Source organism: Homo sapiens, chromosome 12 (genome assembly GCF_000001405.40).
Source record: "Homo sapiens chromosome 12, GRCh38.p14 Primary Assembly".
NCBI classification, from domain to species: domain Eukaryota; kingdom Metazoa; phylum Chordata; class Mammalia; order Primates; family Hominidae; genus Homo; species Homo sapiens.
Genome location: NC_000012.12, coordinates 57,267,292 through 57,292,933, shown reverse-complemented (window position 1 = coordinate 57,292,933; position 25,642 = coordinate 57,267,292). Strand labels below are relative to the sequence as shown.

At 44.0% G+C, this 25,642-nt stretch overlaps 1 protein-coding gene across 53 annotated transcripts in view, besides 1 other annotated feature; it reads left to right on the top strand.

Moving 5' to 3' along the window:
• Positions 1-25,642, top strand: part of R3HDM2 (R3H domain containing 2) — a 177,378-nt gene that overhangs the window by 138,208 nt on the left and 13,528 nt on the right. For 13 of the 53 annotated variants that reach the window (XM_047428517.1, XM_047428514.1, NM_001351204.2 and 10 more), the window contains 10 exons: positions 267-362; positions 3,894-3,925; positions 4,024-4,077; positions 8,878-9,110; positions 12,404-12,576; positions 20,380-20,481; positions 22,940-23,182; positions 23,485-23,611; positions 23,852-24,012; positions 24,477-24,631. In XM_047428517.1, coding sequence (XP_047284473.1) covers positions 267-362; positions 3,894-3,925; positions 4,024-4,077; positions 8,878-9,110; positions 12,404-12,576; positions 20,380-20,481; positions 22,940-23,182; positions 23,485-23,611; positions 23,852-24,012; positions 24,477-24,631 — 1,376 coding nt within the window. Of the gene's footprint in view, positions 1-266; positions 363-3,893; positions 3,926-4,023; positions 4,078-8,877; positions 9,111-12,403; positions 12,577-20,379; positions 20,482-22,939; positions 23,183-23,484; positions 23,612-23,851; positions 24,013-24,476; positions 24,632-25,642 lie in introns of those variants that run through there. The other 40 variants (XM_047428528.1, XM_047428529.1, XM_047428527.1 and 37 more) reach the window with 9 other exon arrangements.
• Positions 11,955-13,154: an enhancer, noted in NCBI's record as "CDK7 strongly-dependent group 2 enhancer chr12:57673563-57674762 (GRCh37/hg19 assembly coordinates)". NCBI's record gives its function as "activates an origin of replication core promoter dependent on BRD2, BRD4, P300/CBP, MED14 and CDK7 cofactors, with strong dependence on CDK7, by STARR-seq in HCT116 cells {active_cell/tissue: HCT116}" and the evidence as "EXISTENCE:reporter gene assay evidence [ECO:0000049][PMID:35650434]".

Genomic DNA, 25,642 nt, shown 5'->3' with positions numbered 1-25,642 from the left:
TTATAAATAGTTGTTATTCTTGATACTGCGGGGGTGGGAGGGGTGGGGATTTGGAGAGTCCCCAGCCATCCAGAAAACCTGATCTCCCAAACTGCATGGTCAGATGTACCCAGTGAAACTTCTCCAGGACTGGAAATTTTATTCTTTTTTTTTTCCATTTTTTTGATGGCAACTATAAACTTTCCCGGTTTCTCTTCCTTGCTGGTGTGCAGTGAGCTTGCAGTACGAGGAGAACTTAACTAGCTTAATTCTGCTCATCGATCTAGATCAGAGTTCCATTGCAGGATGGAAGGAGGAGCAAGTCAATAGAAGAGAGAGAGGAGGAATATCAAAGGGTCCGAGAGAGAATATTTGCCCGAGAGGTAAGTGTAGCATCTGAGAGTTGTCAGCCCATAGCTTTTAGCTCTTAATCATTGGAACTGTGAATGGAATGAACCCTCCACAAATGTTTTTGGGTTTGTTTGTTTGTTTTATTTTAACCAACATCAGCCAACCCTAGATTTGATCTCTAAAACTAAATGTGGCTTATTGGGAAGCTGCAGATTTTCACTTATATTGTTTTCAATACATTCTGCCATATGGTATTCAAAGAGAACTATAACTTGGAGTGGCTGAATTTGGTAAATTTGCCTAGACTGAAAATAGAAATGGTTTTGGCAGGGTCTGAATCTTGCCTCTAAAACCCTCCTTCTGCTTACCCTCTTTCACTCCCTCTATCCATTTTAGGCATCTTTGCTTCTAAGTGGAAGACATAGTGTTCACACAGGCTGTACATTCATCTTGTTTGACCAGCCTCATTTTTAGGATATGTTGGTGATTGTTAGAGCACAGGTCTGGCATCCATCCTCTATGAGCTCCACATTCTACATGCACAGAGAGTACCACTGTTCTCTCCAGTCTCTACCTGAAAAGGAAGTCTCTTTCTTCCTATATTTCTTACCTTGCTTCCTACAACAGGACTAGCTCCTAGGGCTAAAAGCCAACATGAATCAGTTTAGGCAATGTTACTCTTAAATGTGTGGACTATATCAAATATACTTGGTACCCCTGTATCTGGTTGCCTTTGCCTACCAGATTGAAGAGAAGAATAGCAGAAATTCAGGAAAGGTTGTGGGTGTACAAGAGGGAAACAAATCTCCAGAAAATGTAGTATCCAGATATGAGCACCATCTCACAATCACATGAGTAACAAAAGAGGGAAAGCCAGTCTCCCTTCATTGTCAAAAGATGGTCAGGGTTTTCTTTGTTTTTTATTTTGTTTTTTTTTGTTTTTTTTTTTTTAGATAGGGTTTCGCTTTGTCACCCAGGCTGCAGTGCAATGGCACAGTCACAGCTCACTGCAGCTTCAACTTCCTGGGCTCAAACGATCCTCTTGCCTCAGCCTCCCGAGTAGCTGGGATTACAGGCACGCATTACCACGCCTGGCTAACTTTTTTATTTTTTGTAGAGATGGGGTCTCACTATGTTGCCCAGACTGGTCTCAAACTCCTGTGCTCAAGTGATCCTTCCGCCACAGCCTCCTAAAGTGCTGGGATCATAGGCATGACCCACTGTGCCTGGCAAAAGATGGTCAGTTTTAATCAATATACTTAGATGAACACTACTTTCCTCCCATTCCCCCATTCTCCCCTTTCTCACCAAGGGGGGAGAATATATATATATATATTTTTTCATCATCATCATTAGTTTAGAAAAATACTGTCTCCAACTAAAAAACTGAACAACTGTATGTACTTGCGCCATTGTCTCAGAGATCCTCACTGGGAACTGATATACAGCAAACTTTCTGGCCCAAAGTCCAAGAAGGAATCTTCTTACCTCCTATTATGTAGACTTCCATTCTGAGTCAGAAAAGTCCATCTTCCAAATTATTCAACCATAGCCCAAAGAGGGTTTTCTACCTTTACCTACAAACCAGTTGGATGGAATGAGAGGAGAGATGTCATTTGTACATGGCTGTGGCCAGTGATAACCCCCTAAGTTGTGTACGGAACAGGTTGGTGGTTAATAGCAGCAAGTACTGGTTGGGCACTGTGGGTCACGACTGTAATCCCAGCACTCTGGGAGGCCGAGGCAGGTGGATCACCTGAGCTCGGGAGTTCGAGACCAACCTGACCATCATGGAGAAACCCCGTCTCTACTAAAAATACAAAATTAGCCAGGCATGGTGGCACATGCCTGTAATCCCAGCTACTCAGGGGGCTGAGGCAGGAAATCACTTGAACCCAGGAGGCAGAGGTTGTGGTGAGCCAAGATCGTGCCATTGCACTCCAGCCTGGGCAACAAGAGGAAAACTCCATCTCAAAAAATAAAAAAATAAAAAAAAGTAGCAAGCACTTATATAGCACTTACTATCTTTTAGGCATTGTTCTTAGTACTTGATATAGATGAACTCAGTCCTCATACTAGGCCTATGAAGTAGTTTATATTATTTTCCCCATTTTATAAAAGAGGAACTAAGGCTCATAAAGATTAAACAGCCACCTAAGTTCACACTGCTAGTTAGCAAAAGAGCTAAGTATTTGAATTCAGCCTGGCTCCAGAGTCTATGCTCTTAACCCCCTAATGTAAACCACCTCCCAATAGCTTGCTCTGCTCTGGGCTCTTTAGATTAAGAAGTACCAGTGACATCGTAACCTAGCTGACTATCTGTGATGTGTTCCTCTGCTTCACTTACACCTGGAAAATGACTGCCCCACTATGATAGCCATTAGCAAAGCTACAGATGTTCTGAAAGCACAGACAATTTATAATAGGGTATTAGAGCTAATTATGTACAACAGTGGACTGTATCTACCTACAACCATAACAAAGGCAAAGTTAGCTCTTCTCTTTTTTTTTCTCCTGATTTCTAGTCTTCAAGCCTCTACTAATGTATGTATTCTTTGTTAGATCCTTGTAGATTTATCACTTTGATTTCAGCACTTCTAACTCTTGTTGTGGTAGAGGCATCAGGAATCTCAGAAAGTCTAGACAAGGAACTATGGCCAAAGCCCATCATACTCCAAAGATTCCATGTGGAGAGGAGCCTGGCTAAAGGGAGCTGATTAGGGGTGGAGTTGTGGGGTTGGGTGTGGGAGCAGGAGGCAGGCCAAAAAGAAAGGAAGTGGCAAGAAGGGTGTTTGGATGGAAATGCTGCTGCTGCAGCCTTCTCTGGAGCCTGAGCTGTATATTGGAAAAGCTGCCCAGCATAGGCTCTGCTCTGCATGGAGCTCACTCTGCTCAGCAGCTGGACACTCTTGGTACCTTTTCCTAAAGCTTGGGAATCCACCACAATGCTCACTTCACTCAGCTCAGTGGCTTTGTCAGGAAATGATCCCCAAAGGGAATGTTTCAGGCTTTTAATTTTCTCATTTTTTCTAGGCCCTGAAAAGTAACTGCTTCCCCAATATCCCACCCTCCTTGGGTCTCAGGTCAGAATGTCTTTCATTTTGGCCAATGTAGGAGACAGAAATGGAAAAGCCATTGAGGATGATTTCCAAAAACAAAGTTTCTTTCTCTTGTCTCCCTTTTCCCTTCCTTTGAACACACTCTTTAGGACCAAGGACATCAGTTATTATTCCCAAGTTACCAATAAATTCAGAGCTAAAAAGGAAATAATAATTAGGTTAATACTTTCCTCTTCCTCCTTTTCACACTCCTGCCTTTGTCAGCCTCTTTTTTTTAAACACCTATCCAAAGGCTAAAACCACCAGATGTTCTTTCTCATTAAAGGTGAGAAGTCAGATTGGGTATGCGGGTATGGGTCATCCTGTCCCTGGCCCCTCTCTCCCTGTTGGTGGGGTGAGCTTTGGTTTGAGGACCTTGGGTATTCATAGCATCATGGACATCCTTTTCGGTCATGCCATGCTGTTTTCTTATAAGTTATTTTCCGTTTTCTCCCCCTCACCTAGACTGGCCAGAACGGATATCTAAATGACATCAGGTTAGTACCACTTAGCATGTTCCCTGCTTCTCATTGAGCTTTGCCAGTGAGGTTAATATAATCCTGTAATGATGCTTTTCTTTGATGTTAACCAACAGACTCTCCAAAGAAGCCTTTTCTTCTAGCTCTCACAAGAGAAGGCAGATTTTTAGGTACCTCTGTGTGATCTATATCTCTCCTTTTTATTTTTAATTTTATTTTGTTTTGCTGTAATCTTTTCAGCAGAGTGGGTTTGCTCCATGCATGGCTGCTTGTGGAATAATTAAATTTGTGGTTTTTGCAACATTGGATATTTTTCCCCATTTAAAAAAATGGCTCCTGGTCAATGACTTTATTTTTATTGTTGCTGATTTCATTTCGAGTCCTAAACAGGTGGTGAAGGGGACCAAATAGGTGTGTCTGGGATAGGTACAGCTTCCTCCCAGAAATTAGCTGGAATTGGGCATTTTTGAAAGATTCAAACATATTTATGATAAGGTAAAAGAATGGGTGTCTTCTGGCTAACCTTTTCTGAATCTATGGAAAAGATGTGTAGACATTATTCCTGACCCAGCATAGGAATATTTTTTCTTAAAGATATCTTTAAGAAAAAATAATACATATATATATATAGAGAGAGAGAGAGAGAGACATATACGGACACCTTTATGTATGTAGTTTTCTCTTGAGGCAATGTAATGTGTAAGATGACCTCAGAAAGGACCTGGCCAGGCGCGGTGACTCACGCCTGTAATCCCAGCACATTGGGAGGCCGAGGTGGGTGGATCACGAGGTCAGGAGTTCAAGACCAGCCTGGCCAAGATGGTGAAACCTTGTCTCTACTAAAAATACAAAAATTAGCCAGGCGTGGTGGTGGGTGCCTCTCGGGAGGCTGAGGCAGAGAATTGCTTGAACCCAGGAGGCGGAGGTTGCAGTGAGCTGAGATCACGCCACTGCACTCCATCCGGCCTGAGCAACAGAGCAAGACTCTGTCTCAAAAAAAAAAAAAAAAAAGACCTAAGGGACCTCTCTGCCTTAGAATGGACTTAAAGTGTGTCCTTCATACGATTGTTCATTACTTACTCTGAATGCTGGTGCAACCTGTTGTATTAACTTCCCCAGTTCCCAGTGTCCTCCATTTCCCCACAAAGCAGGTATAAGACCCTCCCTTTCATTTCAGTCTCTCAATCCTACCCCAGAGGATAATACAAGGCAGTGGTAAGAGAATAGTGTCTATTCTGTTACCAACTCATTTTAAGTATATTCTTCCCAATTTACCAATAGAAAAACTAGAAAATACTGAGAACCTGAGTATTTAACACTAGAATTCAGCTCTAACCCCCTTTCCAAAGGGTTTCTCTCTTATTGACTACTACACTTGATAAGGACTGTCTGACTAACTTGGATTTGAGATCTCACTCCTACTACTGTAGTTGTCCTTTCCCTGTTGTCCTTTCTAAAGCTAGCCAAACCTTGTGGAAATTGGGGTAGTGAGATTTCCCATTCTTGGGGTAGAGGATTTTCCATCTCTCTCAAGTCTTTTTTTCTTAGGCTGTCCTGCCCTGTGGTTCATCTGAAAACCCCAGGCAGAGAGGACCTTGCATTGTTGGTGGTAGTAGAGATAGATAGAGTCCCCTGCATTAAAAACAAAAAACAAAAAATCAGGATTCCTGTTCCACAGTCTACACTTCGGGGTCATAGATCATCCCAGGATAACTGTAAGAAATAGGAGTTTTAAACCAACTCCTATGTGTGAATTAATGCACAGTGCTTTACAGTCACCAGAGTATACTTTATCTGATTCAGTTCTCTCAACATCCTAATTTGGTCAGCTGGATTACATGTAAGAAAACAAAAGCAGAGAGATTTAAGTGGCTAGCCCAAGTTTACATGGCTAATAGAAGCAAAAATGGAGCTGATTCTTAGTTTAGTGTCCTCTTCGCTACACCACACCAGCTCTCTACAGATGTCACCCCTTCCTCTCTTAGTAGTGTTACATTTGGAGCCCTAATCCAGATTCACTGGTTAGAATGATGCTCTTATTAGGGCTATGGACCATCAGACTACATCAAACTGTGCAGATAATAGCTTGAAGGATCTACTGAGTAGGTGCAGCCCTTTCCTCTCCAGACCTTTTTTTTTTATTTCCCTGAGATGGAGTTTCGCTCTTGTTGCCCAGGCTGGAGTGCAATGGCATGATCTCGGCTCACCGCAACCTCCGCCTCCCAGGTTCAAGCAATTCTCCTGCCTCAGCCTCCCGAGTAGCTGGGATTACAGGCATGCACCACCACACCTGGCTAATTTTGTGTTTTTAGTAGAGACGGGGTTTCTCCATGTTGAGGCTGGTCTCAAACTCCTGACCTCAGGTGATCCACCCACCTCAGCCTCCCAAAGTCCTCATATTACAGGCGTGAGCCACCGCGCCTGGCCCTCACCAGACCTTTTAAGCTACTGGTTTTCCAACTGAGCTTTGATTGAAGATGTAGGTCATCTAAAATGCAGCATCGTGGGCACTTAAGGGAATAACTTCTTCCTCTACTTGGATACTAGTCCAAAACGCTAATGATTAGAAGCTGATCTTCTCTAATTGCCTTACACCTTTCTGGCCCAGTTTATGTTTGTGAAACAAATACCTGTAAACCAAACTCCATCATCCACATTGACAATAACTATGGCAGCTCCCCAGTTCTTTGGAAGAGTCTGCTCCATTGACAAATAAGCCACAGTGAGGCCTTACTGATGTTTATTGCCACCTCTTCCACAGGCATCTCTACCCATTCCCCAGACCCAACAAGCTGGACTTTTCACCAGCACTAAATCTGCTTGTAAAAACTAATCAGCTCTGATTTTACATGAATATGAGGTGTGACTGCTCTTTGTCCTTTACCTCCATCTCTCCAACATACACACAACCCGATCCAGTGCTCAAAATTGAATCTGGGTAGCATTCCCTAATTATTTTTATTTGTAGAGAGGGAAAATTGATCTTTTTCCTGCCAAGACTCAACTTAGATTCTCCAAGTCTTAGGGGAGTAGTGTACTAACCCAGGTTAGTCAGATCATCAGGCAGTCTACATTTTGAGTGTTTGGTCATCACTGTCTTGGGGAAACTGGATTAGTATAGAAGTGCTGCCATTTTGGCCCTAGCTTTTCAAGGTATTTGGTTTAAAGTTGCCTTGTTCACTGTCTACCTCTAGTAGCAAGAGAAAATAAATGGCAGGATTTCCTTTTCAGTGGAAAAGGCCTTTAGGACTTGTCTTGCAAAATTCAAGCTCTAATGTCTAATGAGCAGCCTCATCTATTGCCACTGCTGTATCCCCTTACCCCACAAACACACTCATTTTTATTGACTCCTCTTAGTGTACTTGCCTTTGTCCATTGAGATGTAGCTGTTGTCTCTCACTTCAGGTCTGGTTCTGTTCCTGGAGAGTACCTAACTTATACTTCTTTCTTGTTTCCCATTCTACTTTTGGCATTCCAAAGGAAAGGGGTAAAGCTTTGGAGAAACAGGAATATTTTTTAATTCACTAACTACATAGAAGCATTTAAGTGCTTACACACACACACACACACACACACACACTCTCTCTCTCTCTCAGTCTTGGGGTTGCAGAGAAGAATTAGCATGTTCCTAACCAGTTGTGCCAGTGTATTCTTAGCTCATCGTGATTGGCTTGACTAAAACCTAAAAGAAGGACCCTAGCATGTATTTTGCCCATTTTTCCTACAGTGCCTTTGGAGTAGGTATTCTAATAAAGAAAGGTGTTTTCTTTAATATTAATGCCCTTAAGAAAAATGCCTTTCTCTATTAAAATAACTCTGAGCCTAGTGCCTTTGGAACCAGTGGGATTGGAATGGGGTTTCCTATTTGCTTTTGATGGGATGGTGGTAAAAAGAAGGGAGCCCAAACTACAATGATTTTTTGCTTAATTATTCCTCGGTATACCTACCAAAATCTTTGTAATTGTTGTCATTTGGTTTCCTTAGGTCATTAGTTGTTGGGGATGTGGGGTATGAAAGAAAAATTGCTGGTTCTTGGTTGCTTAATGATTAAGAAGCAGTGAGAGCTCAACAAGACAGGGTTTTCAGGCCAACCTGGCTATCTTGAGGCATACAGCTGTTAATAATCATAGACAGTGATTATAACATCAAGATAACCCTGCTGTTTACAGAGCCAAATAAGAGAGGGAGAACCCCTTTCCTTAATAGTTTTGCTTAGGGAGATAGGATTATGAATATGAAGGCAACTAGGCACAGTCAACCCCCCTGCTCTTCGCCATCCTGAGTCCCAAGAGCATATTTGCTGAAGACTTTAGCCCTTAGAGATCCTGAAACCAATTGTTCGCAGACAGTAACATGGAATTTCCACAAAACAGGTTGGATCAATCCTAGACTATCAAACTGAGTTTTCCATAGTTAGTGCCCCTTTAGTTCACTATACTCTTCTTGCAACTCCTGGAAGGGTGGCCATAAGCAGCACCTCTGCTGGCTTAGACATGTGTTATGTGGAAGACCCATTGTGGGTTTTATCCATGTCATTGGCTCCTGCCTTTTAGCAATAGCAACTTCTAGGAGTCCTTTTATTTTAAGAACTTTCAGAAGGAACTGGTACCCCTCTGTTCCCCATTATTGCTTGCATGTGTGGGATTACCCTCAGAGGGTGGGGAAGAGACCACAGCCAATCTCAGCATCATGTATATGGTTTCCCATCCACCTCTGGTCTGATGTATTAAATTAGTTGCCAGTGCACTGTCTTCCAGATTTGCCTCTGTGTTCTTTGTTACTGTACTGGATCTTGTTCTGTCTGCTCCCATCAACTCTTAGTTGGCCAGCCAACTAACAATAAGTCAGTGTCCATCCTCCCTTTAATTCTTACCCATTCTTTGTTATTGAGAGAATAGAAATGAATTATCTCCTAGCCCTTCTGCTAAAGTGGTGGGTGGGAGGTGCTCTGACCACTATGGTCTCTGCAGGGGGAACCGTGAAGGACTGAGCCGCACCTCAAGCAGCCGCCAGAGCAGCACAGACAGCGAACTCAAATCCCTGGAGCCACGCCCTTGGAGCAGCACAGACTCTGATGGCTCTGTCCGGAGCATGCGACCCCCTGTCACCAAAGCTAGCAGCTTCAGTGGAATCTCTATCCTTACCCGAGGTGACAGCATCGGCAGCAGTAAAGGCGGCAGTGCGGGAAGGATCTCCAGGCCAGGTATTACAGCTTCTTTTCTTCCATGTCATACCCATCCCTTCTTGCTTGTCTCCTGTGAAACATCACTGATATTTACTTTTTTTTTTGAGACAGAGTCTCCTCTGTTGCCCAGGCTGGAATGCAGTGGTGTGATCTCAGCTCACTGCAACCTCTGTCTCCCGGGTTCAAGTGATTCTCCTGCCTCAGCCGCTTGAATAGCTGGGATTACAGGCATGCGCCACCACACCTGACTAATTTTTGTATTTTTAGTAGAGGTGAGGTCTCACCATGTTGGTCAGGCTGGTCTCAAACTCCTGACCTGAGGTGATCTGCCTGCCTCAGCCTCCTAAAGTGCTGGGATTACAGGCGTGAGTCACCACGCCCAGCCCATATTTACTTTCAATAAAACATTTGTCCCAGTATAGTTTCCTGGAAACCTAATACAGCCAGGGGAAGGGACATTTGAATTTTGGATCCATTGTCCTTGCTTGGATTTAGTCCTCCTCATTTTCTTTCAAACCTTCTGCCTGATTGGAAAAAAAAAAAGAATTGATTGTGATTAGATTATTTTCTCTGATTTTCATGTAAGGTGGAACATCCATATCAGCCCAGGTCTCAAGTTATATACTAAGATGAAAATGATAGCCACTTTCATTCTATGACTCTTGAGATTGTAGAGGCTTTGTAGAGCAGAGGGAATCCTTAGAGTTTAGTAGTTTGTAATTAATTGATACCAGCTAATAGGCTAGAATTTAGAGGGATGCTGCTATGGCTGCTTCTCTGGAGCTCAGTCACTGGAAAGGAGCAGACACTCCTATGTTCCACATGAAAGCTCTGTAACCACCCATCAGCTCTCCTGCTACAAAACCTTCTCTATCTATTTCTGCTGCTCTCTTAGCAGAAGGGCATTTAGACCTCTATTTCATCGTCCTCCTCCCTTTGAAGAGTTGCTTGAATCTCATCCCAGAAGTTCTGTAGTTATCCTCAGAAGACATCAGTAGTGCTGAAGATTTTGCCTCTGACCCCTAGGTCTCTGCTGCCCTTCTCTGTTACCTCCTTTCTAATCCCACTGCCTCAGCCTTTATCCACACTTTTATTTTCTTTTATGTAATTATGACACTGGCGCCCAAACTGATATCTCTACTCCATTCTCAGCTCTTTTTATGATTTTTTTTTTGCTTTTTCAAGAGTCGGGGTCTTGCTGTTATCCAGGCTGGATTGCAGTTGCACCATCACAGCTTACTGCAGCCTTGAACTCCTGGGCCCAGATGATCCTCCCACCTCAGACTCCCAAGTAGCTGGGATTACAGACATGAGCCATTGCATCTGGTTGCTTAGCCCTTTTTAGAGCCAGTTTGCCAATCTAAAACAGATCTAAACTCATCAGTAGTCTTTTAAAAATGTTCGTTTCTGCATCCTCACCTGAATAGTAAAATCCAAATTACTTAATATAGCATAACTTCCTGACTCCAGTTTGCCATTGCTGTCTAATTTCCAGATCTTTCCTTCTTTCCAACCATTTCTTTCTTTCCTTTTTTTTTTTTTGAGATGGAGTCTTGCTCTTGTTACGCAATGGCACGACCTCGGCTCACTGCAACCTCCGCCTCCCGGGTTCAAGCGATTCTCCTGCCTCAGCCTTTCGAGTAGCTGTGATCACAGGCACCCGCCACCACGGCCGGCTAATTTTTTGTATTTTTAGTAGAGATGGGGTTTCACCACGTTGGCCAGGCTGGTCTCAAACTCCTGATGTCAGGTGATCCACCCACCTAAGCCTCCCAAAGTGCTGGGATTACAGGCATGAGCCACCACACCCAACCAACCATTTCTTGAATATGGCATTAGCTTTGTTTCCTCTTGGTCTTATAAGCATCTGTCATTCTTCAACCCCAGCTTTCCTGCTGACCCCTCTTTAAATCCTTTCCTGACCCTCCCAGGAGTTTTTGCTTCCTCATCTTTGCTTTCATGCAACTTTGTCGATATCACTGATGTATTCCTTATCCTTATCAGATTATAATTGTCATGTGGATGTCTATCTCCCATCAGAAGTTCCTGTGCTGTTGGCTGGGCATGGTGGCTCACACCTGTAATTCTAGCACTCTGGGAGGCAGAGGCAGGCAGATCACTTGAGGCCAGGAGTTCGAAACCAGCCTGGCCAACAAGGCAAAACCCCATCTCTACCAAAGACATCAAAATTAGTTGGGCGTGGTGGTGGGTGCCTGTAATCCCAGCTACTTGGGAGGCTGAGGCAGAAGAATCGCTTGAACCTGGGAGGTGGAGGTTGCAGTGAGCCAAGATCGTGCCACTGCATTCCAGCCTGGGCGACAGAGTGAGACCCTGTCTCAAAAAAAGAAAAAAGTTCCTGTGCTGTTAAGGGCAAGGACTGTGTTTCACTCATCTTTATGTCTTTAGTTCATTATACAGTGCTTGGCACATAGTAAAGTATGTTGTGTTGAATGAGTTCATGCCTTGGAGAGCCTAGAAATGGGGAAATGAGTTGGATAAAGGTTATGTGTATGCTTGAAGTTTTCTCAGCAACATTTTTTTTTTTTTTTTTTTTGAGACCGAGTCTCGCTCTTGTCGCCCAGGCTGGAGTGTCATGGCGCGATCTCAGCTCACTGCAACCTCTGCCTCCTGGGTTCAAGCGATTCTCCTGTCTCAGCCTCCCAGGTAGCTGGGATTACAGGCGCCCACCCTCAAGCTCGGATAATTTTTATATTTTCAGTAGAGACGGAGTTTCACTATGTTGGTTGGCCAGGCTGGTCTCAAACTCCTGACCTCAGGTGATCCACCCGCCTCAGCCTCGCAAAGTGCTGGGATTACAGGCATGAGCCACTGCGCCCGGCCCTCAGCAACTTTTATAAGAGATGTTGCAAATTGAGAAGAAAGCAAAGAGAAGACAGATCTCTCTCTCTCTAGCAAAAGGACGGATCTCTTAAGAGACCAAAAATCTGTGCCTTCCCAGGAAGTAAGCATTTATATTTTCAGCTATCTAAGTTTGATGGACAGATTCCAGACACTTCAGGGGAGGTGCTTCAGCAGCCTCACATTTTGTTCAATTTCATAACCAAACTTGACAGTCAAGGTGGTTCCTGTCCCTAGGGAGCAGAAGCCTGCAAAGAGGAGGACTGGCATCAGCAAGGCAGCTGAAATGCATCTGTGCTCATCTGTGAATCTTCAAAAGACAGTGGGGGAGGGGACAAAAGGGAATAAAGAGGAAAGGCAAAGAAAAAGTAGAGCCCTCTGACTAAGCTTCCAGGGATAATGTGTTCGTGGCTTATGCTTACAACTTTTTGTGGGTTTCTTCTTTGCCTTAGGTATGGCACTAGGTGCCCCAGAAGTGTGCAACCAGGTCACCTCATCCCAGTCTGTCCGGGGGCTTCTCCCTTGTACTGCCCAGCAGCAACAGCAGCAGCAGCAGCAGCAACTTCCTGCTCTCCCACCCACGCCTCAGCAACAGCCACCCTTGAATAATCACATGATCTCACAGGTGAGTCACCACTCAGTGTCAGAGTCCTCTCCACTCTGATTCAAGCAAACTTTAGATGTACCGTCATGTCTCTTGTGCTGTGGGTGGCAGGAAGGATCAGTTTTTGGAGACATGCCACTCTCTCCCCCATTTCTCATTTGTTAGTTGTAGGGAAAGAAGAACCTTGAGCAAAGGTTTTGCCAAATAACTACTGAGTCAGCTTGGGGGTTTTTTGCTTTATATTTCTTCCTCTGCTTCCTGAACATTGTCAGTAGAATCTTTTATTTCATACCACATTTCTACTGTACCCCATCTCCCTCTATGTCCATGTGTAATTAACAAGGCATTTTTTTCCATTACATCTATATATTGGAACTTGAAAAGATTATAACTTCCACCATCATCTGACCAACTATGTGGACCCATAAACACCTATTTATGTGTTGGGGTTTGCGGAAAAAAGAAATAACACTCAAGACCCCTTCCATACATATGCCACGAAACACAAAGACTCCAAATGTGTCTTTGTTTTCCATGACTCAAAAGGGCTGTATCCTTCTCCTTCTGTTGCTGGACTGGTAAATGTTGGTACCAACTAGAGTTTAAGTGAAGTTTTGCATCTGTGGAGACCAGGAAGGTCATTAGCCTAAGAATCAGTCCTGTTCTAAACCAGAACTTCAGTATTCTGTTTTATTTCTTTCTTTTAATTTTTAAAAAATGTATTGTTATTATTATTATTTTGAGATAGGGTCTTGCTTATGTTGCCTAGGCTGGTCTCAAACTTGTGGGCTCAAGTGATCCTCCCTCCTTGGCCTCCTAAAGTGCTGAGATTACAGGCATGAGCCACCATGCCTGGCCATTGTCATTAAGGTGACTATGTTTAAAAGTCACCTTAAGGCCAGGCATGGTTGCTCAAGCCTGTAATCCCAGCACTTTGGGAGGCTGAGGCGGGTGAATCACCTGAGGTCAGGAGTTCAAGACCAGCCTGCCCAACATGGTGAAACCCGGTCCCTACTAAAAATACAAAAATTAGCCACGTATGGTGGCGGGTGCCTGTAATCCCAGCTACTAGGGAGGCTGAGGCAGGAGAATCGCTTGAACCCATGAGGCGGAGGTTGCGGCGAGCCGAGATCGCGCCACTGCTCTCTAGCCTGGGCGACAGAGTAAGACCCTGTCTCAAAAAAAAAAAAAAAAAAAAAAGTCACCTTAATACTCCGAGCAGAGCTGTGCTGAGATCTTCACTTACTCCCTTCTCACACGAATAGAGCTCTTTTTGAGGAGAGCCCCATACTTTATCCTGAAGTATTCTCTGGTAGCTGGAAAGCCCATGTGTCTGCAGTCTTTTCTGCTGTAGTTTACATTCTCATGTTACCTCCCAGGCTCCCTCATCCCTCTGCTTATTAGTCCAGCTTGGCCTTAGATATATTTCTTCCCTAGGTGTAAGAAGCAAGTCCCAAACACTAATACCCCATGAACTAGAAACTAGAGTGCAAAGACCCCAGAATGGCCCAGTATTGCCCTATCTCAAATATTGTGAAATGAAGCTGAAACAAAGAACAGTGAAGATCTAGGAAATCCTACTTTGTGTCTAAATGTAATTTGCATGCAAGTCATTGCAGTCCTCTATCTTAGTCTAAGTCAGTTCTTTCTATAGTCCTAACTTTCTTGTTCTACCACCATCTACCCCAGTAAGTCTCGTTCACTTCAGTTTACCTTGCTCCCTACTGAAGCATAGTGTCCTTGTATGTGTACTTTTCTCTGTCTGTGTCTTAATTCAAACCTGTAAGTGGGTAAACTATGCTTCTCCTTCTGTCATCTGCTACCGTGTTTTTTATGTGTATGACTTGCTTTTCCAAGGTCCTAATATTTTCTAGGTTTTTTTTTCCCTAAAATGTGTATTTTAATAGTCTTGCTCCCTTTTCTCCCTCTTAGTCTCCCATCTGCCTGCATCTTCCACCTATAATCTCATACCTAGAAACAGACGAGACGGCAAGAGTGGGAGAGGAATAAAGAGATAAAAGAACCATTTGGGACTGAAATTTATACAGAATGTCCAAGTGACTGGCCCTAAACCCCAATCTTCTACTCAGGTTCTGTCCCTGCTACTGGATTGTGAGGGTCAATTGGTCGATCGTTGGCATTGGCTTATCTCCTATGGGGAGTGTGGTGCCAGGTTAGGTGCTATAGCTCGGGGGTAAAGGAACACTACTTGGTGCAGCAATTCCTGTTCTCTTAGAAATTCATTCTTGAGATTAATTGTGATCACTAACTCCAAATGAAAGAATTTATCCAGGTTTTGATGCCCTGGAAGCATTTATGGAAGCTGCTAAAAATTATCCCACCATCTCACTGTATGTATCTCCTTTTTTCTCCCTCTCCACTTTTTCACCCTTCCTCTTTATTTTTTTATTCCTCTTCCTACTGCCATTTTCTTTCTTTCTTTTGCTTTCTTTTTCCCTGATTGGCCTTCAGCACTGGGGGCTCCCTAGACCAAAGTTGCTGAGCCTGAGAATAATTATTGTTCAGTTTCTAATGGTACATAACAGTGCTAGGATTAAAGAAGTGATCATGTGCACACACAAACACCACTGTGCTTACTCTAAAGCTTTTCCTGTAGAAGAAAAACTTTGAGACTGGGTGCGGTAGCTCACGCCTGTAATCCCAGCACTTTGGGAGGCCGAGGAGGGCAGATTACTTGAAGCCAGAAGTTTGAGACCAGCCTGGCCAACCTGGTGAAACAACGTCTCTACTAAAAATACAGAAATTAGCTGGGTGTGGTGGTGCACATCTGTAATCCCAGCTTCTTGGGAGTCATCAGCCTCCTAAGCATGAGAATTGCTTGAACCTGGGAGGTGGAGGTTGCAGTGAGCTGAGATTGCACCACTGCACTCCAGCCTGGGCAACACAGCAAGACTCTGTCTAAAAAAAAAAAAAAAATCTTTGAGGAAGGGTTGTTACCTTTAACTCTGTCACACAAGGCACTTGCCCCAGGTCTGGGAACAGTACTGACTAAACTATGATCTTTCCCTTCCTGGCAGGGCTCCTCTGTCCAAGCAGGCCTTCAAATTGTGTGTCGGTGAAGCTCGTGAAACCAGGGGTGAGGCTGAGGATTAAAGGGCCAGGATCTCCCTTTTGCCCAATTTACTTAAAATGAAGTAGACTTCTTGAAAAGGAGTTCTCGGGGCCCCCTTTTGTCATCAAGAGCCAGTGAACAAGCCCAGAATTTGCCAGTAGGTGGCAGCCACATCCCTCAGGGCAGTCTTTTTTTTTTTTTTTTTTGTTCATTATTTATTTTTCCATAAGTTATTGGAGTACAGGCAGTACTTGGTTACATGAGTGAGCTCTTTAGAGGTGATTTGTGAGATTGTGGTGCACCCATCTCCCGAGCAGTATACACTGCACCATATTTGTAGTCTTTTATCCCTTGCCCCCTTCCCACTCTTCCCCTCAAGTCTCCAAAGTCCATTTTATCATTCTTTTTTTTTTTCTTTTGAGATGGAGTCTCGCTCTGTCACCCAGGTTGGAGTGCAGTGATGCACTCTCGGCTCACTGCAACTTCCACCTCCTGGGTTCAAGCGGTTCTCCTGCCTCAGCCTCCTGAGTAGCTGGGATTACAGGCACGCACCACCACGCCCAGCTAATTTTTGTATTTTTAGTAGAAATGGGGGTTTCACCATGTAGGTCAGGCTGGTCTCAAACTCCTGACCTCATGATCCGCCCACCTTGGCCTCCCAAAGTGCTGGGATTACAGGCGTGAGCCGCTGTGCCCGGCCCATTTTATCATTCTTATGCCTTTGCGTCCTCATAGCTTAGCTCCCACATATCAGTGAGAACATGCGATGTTTGGTTTTCCATTCCTGAGTTACTTCACTTAGAATAATAGTCTCCAATCTCATCCAGGTCACTGCAAATGCTGTTAATTCATTCCTTTTTATGGCTGCATAGTATTCCATTGTGTGTATATACCACAGTTTCTTTACCCACTCATTGATTGATGGGCATTTGGGTTGGTTCCATGATTTTGCAATTGTGAATCGTGCTGCTATAAACATGCACATGCAAGTATCTTTTTTGTATAATGACTTTTTTTCCTCTGGGTAGATACCCAGTTGTGGGATTCCTGAATCAAATGGTAGTTCTACTTTTAGTTCTTTTTTTTTTTTTTTTTTTAGATGGAGTCTCACTCTGTCGCCCAGGCTGGAGTGCAGTGGCACGATCTTGACTCACTGCAAGCTCCGGGTTCATGCCATTCTCGTGCCTCAGCCTCCCGAGTAGCTAGGACTACAGGCAACCGCCACCACGCCCAGCTAATTTTTTGTATTTTTAGTAGAGACGGGGTTTCACCATGTTAGCCAGGATGGTCTCGATCTTCTGACCTCATGATCCGCCCGCCTTGGCCTCCCAAAGTGCTGGGATTACAGGCATGAGCCACTGCGCCCGGCCCTACTTTTAGTTCTTTAAGGAATCTCCACATTGTTTTCCATAGTGGCTGTACTACTTTACATTCCCACCAGCAGTGTAGAAGTGTTCCCTGACACTGCATCCATGCCAACATCTGCTGTTTTTTGATTTTTTGATTATGACCATTCTTGCAGGAGTAAGGTGGTATCACATTGTGGTTTTGATATGGATTTCCCTGATCATTAGTGATGTTGAGCATTTTTTCATATATTTGTTGGCCATTTGTATATCTTCTTTTGAGAATTGTCTATTCATGTCCTTAGCCCACTTTTTGATGGGATTGTTTTTTTCTTACTGATTTATTTGAGTTCGTCGTAGATTCTGGATATTAGTCTTTTGTCAGATGTACAGATTGTGAAGATTTTCTCCCACTTTGTGGTTTGTCTGTTTCCTCTGCTGTTTTTTTTTTTTTTTTTCCATGCAAACGTTTTTTAGTTTAATTAAGTCCCAACTATTTATCTTTGTTTTTATTGCATTTGGTTTTGGGTTCTTGGTCATGAAATCGTTGCCTAAGCCAACATCTAGAAGGGTTTTTCCAATATATTATCTTCTAGAATTTTTAATTTCAGGTCTTAGATTTAAGTCCTTAATCCATCTTGAGTTGATTTTTGTATAAGGTGAGAGATGAAGATCCAGTTTCATTCTCCTACATGTGGCTAGCCAATTATCCCAGCACCATTTGTTGAAAAGGGTGTCCTTTCCCCACTTTATGTTTTTGTTTGCTTTGTCAAAGATCAGTTGGCTGTAAGTATTTGGGTTTATTTCTGGGTTCTGTATTCTGTTCCATTGGTCTATGTGCCTATTTTTATACCAGTACCATGCTGTGTTGGTCACTATAACCTTATAGTATACTTTGAAATCAGGTAGTATGTTGCCTCCAGATTTGTTCTTTTTGCTTAGTCTTGCTTTGGCTATGGGGGCTCTTTTTTTGTTCCATATGAATTTTAGAATTTTTTTTTTGTAATTCTGCGAAGAATGATGGTGGTATTTTGATGGGGATTGCATTGAATTTGTAGATTGCTTTTGGCAGTATGGTCATTTTTACAATATTGATTCTACCCATCCATGAGCATGAGATGTGTTTCCATCTGTTTGTATCATCTATGATTTCTTTCAGCAGTGTTTTGTAGTTTTCCATGTAGAGGTCTTTCAACTCCTTGGTTAGGTATATTCCTAAGTTTTGTTTAAATAAATTTCCTCATGGTTTTTCAGAGCTTCCCTGGCTTTGTAGTTTTACACCCTTCAAGAAGAGAACTATGGCTGAGGATAGCTGTGGAGTAACTAAAAAAATAGCACTGCTATCCCTGCCCGTATCACTGCCCTTCCCCAGTTAGGGGAGGCCTAAGAGGAGCATCACTTCTTCTCACTTTACTCTTTAGTCAGAACTTACAAGTGTGGGGAAAACAGGCACAGTTTTGTTTTGTTTTGTTTTGTTTTGTTTGAGACGGAGTCTTGCTCTGTTGCCCAGGCTGGAGTGCAGTGGTGGTGCGATCTCGGCTCACTGCAACCTCTGCCTCCCAGGTTCAAGCGATTCTCCTGCCTCAGCCTCCTGAGTAGCTGGGACTACAGGCATGTGCCACCATGCGCAGCTAATTTTTGTATTTTTAGTAGAAATGGGGTTTCACCGTGTTGGGCAGGCTGGTCTCGACTCAGGTGGTCTGCCCACCTCAGCCTCCCAAAGTGTTGGGATTACAGGTGTGAGCCACTGCAGGCAGCCATTTTTTTTTAACCACTTTACTGTCCTTTTTTCCCCAGAATATATATGCCTGAACCAAGATAGACTCTCCTCCAAAAGAATGAAGAGAATTGGGATAATAGAAAATGTGTATGAAAGCCACCAGTATAAGCAGCTAATACTGAACATCTTGTCCATCAGTTATATTTGGAATGCCATTGTCTGACAGAAAATAGGTGTGCCAGTAGAGCTAAGAGTTTATTTTCAAGGCTACAGCAGCAACTCTTCCAGGTCACACAGTGGATTCTCAATAATTTTACCTAATTATTGAGACCTCCAGAGTATTCTCCTCTTTGGAGAGTCTTCTAATTCCTGTACTCTGCCTCCTGAACTGTTAGTCCCTTCTGTGAAAGAAACTCTGGAGATGTGTGGCAGGAGAGGATATTGATACCATGGCCCCACACATCTTAATGCTCTAAATGTGGAGGGAGGAGCCTGTGGCAGGTGCTTGGATAATTCTCCTTGACTTCTTCCTTCACCTCCTCTCCACTACTAGAGTGGGGTGGAGAGAACCTATGCCAGGCAGAACTGGATTTCAACCTCAGCTCTGCCATATTAACTGTGTAAGCCTAGATGAGTGATTTAATTTATCTGAGCCTTTTTTATTTGCAAATACAAGTTATATCTCCCTATAGGATTCTTGTGTGAGGCTGTAATGAGACAATGTATGTAATAAGATAATATATACCAATGTTATTTTCCCCCCTTCCTTGCCTCTCTCCTTCTCTCATCTCTCCTACCACCAGGGACTATGACTGGAGAACTGATGAGGTGATCAAAATGCCTGGAGGGGAAGAAGGGAAGGAAAAAATAATAACTACCCACTAGTTGATTTAGAACACTCTATGTTCCTAGTAAACAAATCCTCCTGCTTGAGGCTAGTGAAGGGGGACTGAAGGGACAAAAACTAAAGCTAAGCTATTTATATTTTATTCCTAAATCCTTCCTGTTTGCTTGGGGGGTGGAGGTGGATTTTTCATATTGCTGTCACAGCCTGGAGGAGCAATCATGGAGTGGAAGGAAGTAGCCAGAAGCAGGCATGATCTTGGGTGTTTTTTCCTTCTCTGCCCTTGGGAGGGAGATGATCCTTGTGAATGAGTATTTCCTCTAGGAGAGCTGTGGTGTGAAATCAGGAGCAGCTGAGCCAGACCTTGGATGACCCTTCCTGCAGAAGCAGTGCAGCAGTGCAGACAGGAATCTCTTCTCAAGTGGGCAGTCAAGGAGGGTTATGATCATGCTCCCCAGGAATTGTGTGTTCAGAAAAACTGCTTTGGGAAAAGCTGTATTTGGAATCAGACAGCAGACCCTGACCCTGAGAGTCCTCAGATTGCTCACAACAGCTGCAGAGTTCTGAATGGCTAATGGGGAAGGGAGTGCAGCAGGTCTCCCCTGATAAGAGAGATTGCCTGTTTGTCAAAGAGATGTTAAATCTTCAAGCTGTCCCGGGCTTGGTCACCTACCTGCTCAGCAGTCGTGCTACTCATGTGAAATTTCTTCTATGATTATTAACCTTATTGTTCCTTCCCTTTCCCTCCCCATCTCTGCCCGCACCCCCCCCCCACCCCACCCCCCGCTTCCCACCTCTCTTTTCTCTTCCCTTTTCCACATGCCTCTCTGCTGGCCCACAGCCAGTCCCGGCTCTGCAGCCCTCTCCGCAGCCTGTTCAGTTCTCTCCAAGCTCCTGTCCCCAAGTCCTTCTGCCAGTCTCTCCGCCCCAGCAGTACAACATGGTATAAACTCCATTCCCCCTTTTTGTCTTGTTCATGTGTGGCCTGTATCTGTAGGTATGTCTGGGTCAGTCTGTGATGGCCTTGTAAGCATGTTGTGCTTTTGGAGGGCATATTGAAAGCTATTTCTTCTTGAGGGACCAGCACAGGCTGAACTATACTCCATGCTAATGGCCTCATCACAGCACATCAAAAGATGCTTAAATGTAAGACAGAGGAACACTGTGTTCCCCCAAGTTTCAGGACAGAGAATGAAATTGGATGTTGGTATAACCTAGGCTCCTCATCTCTACGATGTACATCCTAAATCTAATTTGCTCCCTAGGCATGTCTGAGGAACCTAGTTTCTTCTATACAGAATGGTTCTCTATAATTTCCTTTAAAAATAAAAACACAGGCCGGGCGTGGTGGCACACACCTGTAGTCCTAGCTACTTGAGAGGCTGAGGCAGGAGAATCGCTTGAACCTGAGAGGCTGAGGTTGCAGTGAGCCGAGATCGCACCACCACTGCACTCCAGCCTGGACAACAGAGCAAGACTCCGTCTCAAAAAAAAAAAAAAATGCAGTTGCAGACTTCTCTGGTATCACTGGCAAAAACTTAAACTGTTCCCCTGTTTTACCATGTCAGTTTATATTTTAAAAATCCTCATCCATTGCGTAGCACATGCTGTTTAAATCGTTTGTACTCTACAAATCCTTTGAAGATCTGATTTGCCTCATAGTTGATAACTTCCATCATAGTTGTAGGAGCCCTGAATTGTTTTGCTCTGTCTTAACATCTACTTTTTCTCTAGAATCCTCTCCCTCCTCCTACCTCTTATTTCCATGTTGATTGTCCTGGAATATCGAGTTCAAAATAATCTGCAGTCCAGTTCACTTGTCATCTATTCCTGCCCAATAAGTAGCAAAACAGCTAACTTGAAGATCAGATCCTTGAAAATGGAATGAAACTACAGAAAAGCATTGTCTTTTGGTTTCTGCTAGTTGTGTGTGCGTGTGTGTGTGTGTGTGTGTGTGTATTACTGTCCAGGGAGCAGAAGGGAAAAGGAAGCTAACAAACTCTAACCTATCACCATATGAGTGAGAGATGGAACACCATCACCCTTGCTGCTTAGGAAAGAGAGCTGAGAGAGAAGGCAATTACAGCCTGGCCAGTCAGTCTTATCCTCCAGCTTAGCCACTCACTCTGCCCTCCTTTTGGAGGTGAGAATTGGAAGTAGTTTCTGAAGGGCAGGAGAATTCTAGGCTAGTGTCAGAGAACAAAGGTGGAAATGACCTCCAGAGGGAGTAAGGAGATAAGCAGCAGGAGTGGGAGCCCCCAGTCTTGCTGCTGCATAGGCAGAGCTGTGAAGGCACATGAACCTAGCTACCCATGATCCACTCAAGGTGTTATCTGGGTCCTTTATTATAAAAACAGGATTTGTGGCAATGTAGGGGCCTTTTTATGGTTGGGGGCATAAGGAAAACAGGAAATGGAAAGACTCTTTAATCTTTTTCGTTAAGCCGCTAGTTTGTCCTGTTTTTTCTATATACAGTAATTGTGTCATAGCTCCCATCTCCCAAGGACTAACCCTAACAACAATCATAGGCCAGGCGCGGTGGCTCACACCTGTAATCCCAGCACTTTGGGAGGCTGAGGCGGGCTGATCACTTGAGTTCAGGAGTTCAAGACCAGCCTGGCCAACATGGTGAAATCCCGTCTCTACTAAAAATACAAGAATAAGGCTGGTGCGGTGGCTCACGCCTGTAATCCAAACACTTTGGGAGGCTGAGGCAGGTGGATCCACCTGAGGTCAGGAGTTTGAGACCAGCCTGGCCAACATGGTGAAACCCCGACTCTACTAAAAATACAAAAAAAATTAGCTGGGCTTGGTGGCACATGCCTGTAATCCCAGCTACTCGGGAGGCTGAGGCAGGAGAATTGCTTGAACCTGGGTGGCAGAGGTTGCAGTGAGCCGAGACTGCACCATTGCACTACAGCCTGGGCAACAAGAACCAAAACTCCATCTCAAAAAAAACAAAAAACAAAACAAAACAAAACAAAACAAAACAAAACAAAATAAGAATTAGCCGGGTTTGGTGGCAGGAGCCTGTAATCCCAGCTACTCAGGAGGCTGAGGCACGAGAATTGCTTAAACCTGGGAGGCGGAGGTTGCAGTGAGCTGGGATTGAGCCACTGCACTCCAGGCTGGGCAACAAAATGAGACTGTGTCTCAAAAAAACAAAAAAACACACAATTATAATCAGGGTCACCATTGTTACCTCATATGTGATAGAGAGACTGGCTCTGGAGTTGGACTTCAACAGCTATTCAATTCATAGCACAGCACAGAGGTAGGACTATCCCCCATTGTTTTAAAGAAGGTTGTAAAAAGCATTGCTATTTCTCTCTGTCTATGTTGAAGCCAAAGACATGAGGTTTGATACAGCCCCAATCCTGTGTCTTATACTCTCTCAACAGGCAGATGACCTCAGCAACCCCTTTGGACAAATGAGCCTTAGTCGCCAAGGTTCTACTGAAGCAGCTGACCCATCTGCAGCTCTATTCCAGACCCCACTTATCTCCCAGCACCCTCAGCAGACTAGCTTCATCATGGCTTCCACGGGTCAGCCCCTCCCCACTTCCAACTATTCCACCTCTAGCCATGCACCACCTACTCAGCAAGTTCTGCCACCCCAGGGGTACATGCAGCCCCCTCAACAGGTGAGCAGCTCCAGTTCCCAGCTTAAATCACTTAATTCAGTTTGTCTAGTATTATACTTTCTTTATTCCTCCAGTTTAGACAGACCAGAGGGAATACCTCTCCCTACCTTGCACTTGAGAGTTGTTCTAGCCAGAAAGTCTTCTTTCTATATAACATAAATCCTTGTTTTACTGCAATTGCAGGTCCAAAATATCTCCGTTTACATATTTCTGGCCATCAATCTTGAGGCATTTATAGTAGTATGCTGATGTTGCGGCTGAATTTTAGGGACTTCTCACACATCTGTCTCCTCTCACCATAGATCCAGGTTTCTTACTATCCCCCTGGACAATATCCTAACTCCAACCAGCAATATCGACCTCTCTCTCACCCGGTGGCCTATAGCCCCCAACGTGGTCAGCAGCTGCCTCAGCCATCCCAGCAGCCTGGTAAGAGAAACCACTGGTTTAAGAAGGCAGTGAATAAGGGAAGGGCACACCAGGAAAGAAAGAAGTACCTTCTCCATTAAAATGAAGGTGGGTCTAGGGGCAGGAATGATTAGGGTCCTAAGAACAGACCTATGCTCTCCAGAAAAAGAAAGATAAAATAGAATGGAGAAGGAAATTACAGATAGAGTGTGACCTCCTAAACATTCATACTAATGTATTTTCTGCCTTGCCCATCTCTAGGTTTACAGCCCATGATGCCTAACCAGCAGCAGGCGGCTTACCAAGGCATGATTGGGGTCCAGCAGCCACAGAACCAGGGCCTGCTCAGCAGCCAGAGGAGCAGCATGGGGGGCCAGATGCAAGGCCTGGTGGTTCAGTACACTCCACTGCCTTCTTACCAAGTGGGTGCATTCTGCATTGGGAAGGATCACCCCAGTCCTTGGCATGAGGAAAAGGAGAGCCTCCCAGGGTCATCCATACTAAAAACTCCAATACTAAAATAGTGTCTACTTTCCCCTAGAATTTTTAGGTTTTTTTCCTATAACGGAAAGCCCATGGAGTTTTAGAAGAATCTTTAAATTGTTTGGTCTTTATACAGCCATGGAATGAGTATATGCCCAGGAAAGTAGTGGCTAAAGGAAATCAGGCTCCTTTCTTTATGTCAGATGCCCAAGGGTGGTATTTGAAGAAGGCAGAAATAGAGACAGCTCTGGAAACATTTTCTTTAGGCAGATGGGGAAAACAGGAGGAGGATCTAAGGTAGGGAAGGAAGTTGTAATGCCCTGATCTCGTGATGACTAGGCTGTTTCTGCATGAGCTCAATGTGAATGCGAATGTGATTCTTTCTCTTCTCTTTCTCACCCAGGTTCCAGTGGGTAGTGACTCGCAAAATGTGGTCCAGCCGCCTTTCCAGCAACCCATGCTGGTCCCTGTGAGCCAGTCTGTGCAAGGAGGCCTCCCAGCAGCGGGGGTACCAGTGTACTATAGCATGATCCCACCTGCTCAGCAGAACGGTACGAGGTGAGGACTCCCAGAGAGCCAGGACAGGACATCTCCCATAGACCTTCAGCAACAGTTGCATCATGGTTTTGTTTCCACTGGCCTAAGAAAGGCAGGGGTAAAGATCCCAGTAGTTCCCTAAAGCAGGTAGAATATGAGGGAGTTCATTCTCCTTTTCACTTATTGATTTGACATGTGCCTAAGAGGTTATCAGCAGAAAAAAATTCCTGCTTCAGAGACTTATAATTTATGATTTCCTCCATTTTTATTTTTCAAAAGAATGGGACTCAGAACTAGAGGATAGAGACTGCTCATCATTAAGAGAAGAAATTTTTTTGGACTGTGATGTGTAAATTTTTCCGTGTACCTCTGTTTATCAATGAAACTGATGGTGTGTCTATTTCTGTATCTATTTATATATAACTGAATATAGGTCATAGTGAATAGAATTTTTAGTGGTAGAAGGCACCTTAGAAATCATCTAGTCCACTCCCCTTGTTTTATTTTTCTCTCATTTTTAAATGAGGAAATTCCAGCTAGGGCTGTTAAAAAATTTACCTAAATTAACATAGCTAGTTAGAGGCAGAGGTGGAACAAGAACTGGAGTCTGGGCAACTCCACGTGTTTCTGTATGCCTGTCTCCCAGTATATGTGCATTTACCTTTGTCTTTTTCTATATATGTCTCCAGGTTGTTTTGAGTTTTGTGGCGTTATTTTTTTCTATTTGTCTTTATGTGACTATATTTGTTTTTGACTTTTCTTTTCTTTTTGAGATGGAGTCTTGCTCTTGTTACCCAGGCTGGAGTACAATGACAATCTCAGCTCACTGCAACCTCTACCTCCTGGGTTCAAGCAATTCTCCTGTCTCAGCCTCCTGAGTAGCTGGGACTACAGGTGTGCGCCACCATGCCCAGCTAATTTTTGTATTTTTAGTAGAGACGGGGTTTCGCCATGTTGGCCAGGTTGGTCTCGAACTCCTGACCTCATGATCCACCTGCCTTGGCCTCCCAAAGTGCTGGGATTACAGGCGTA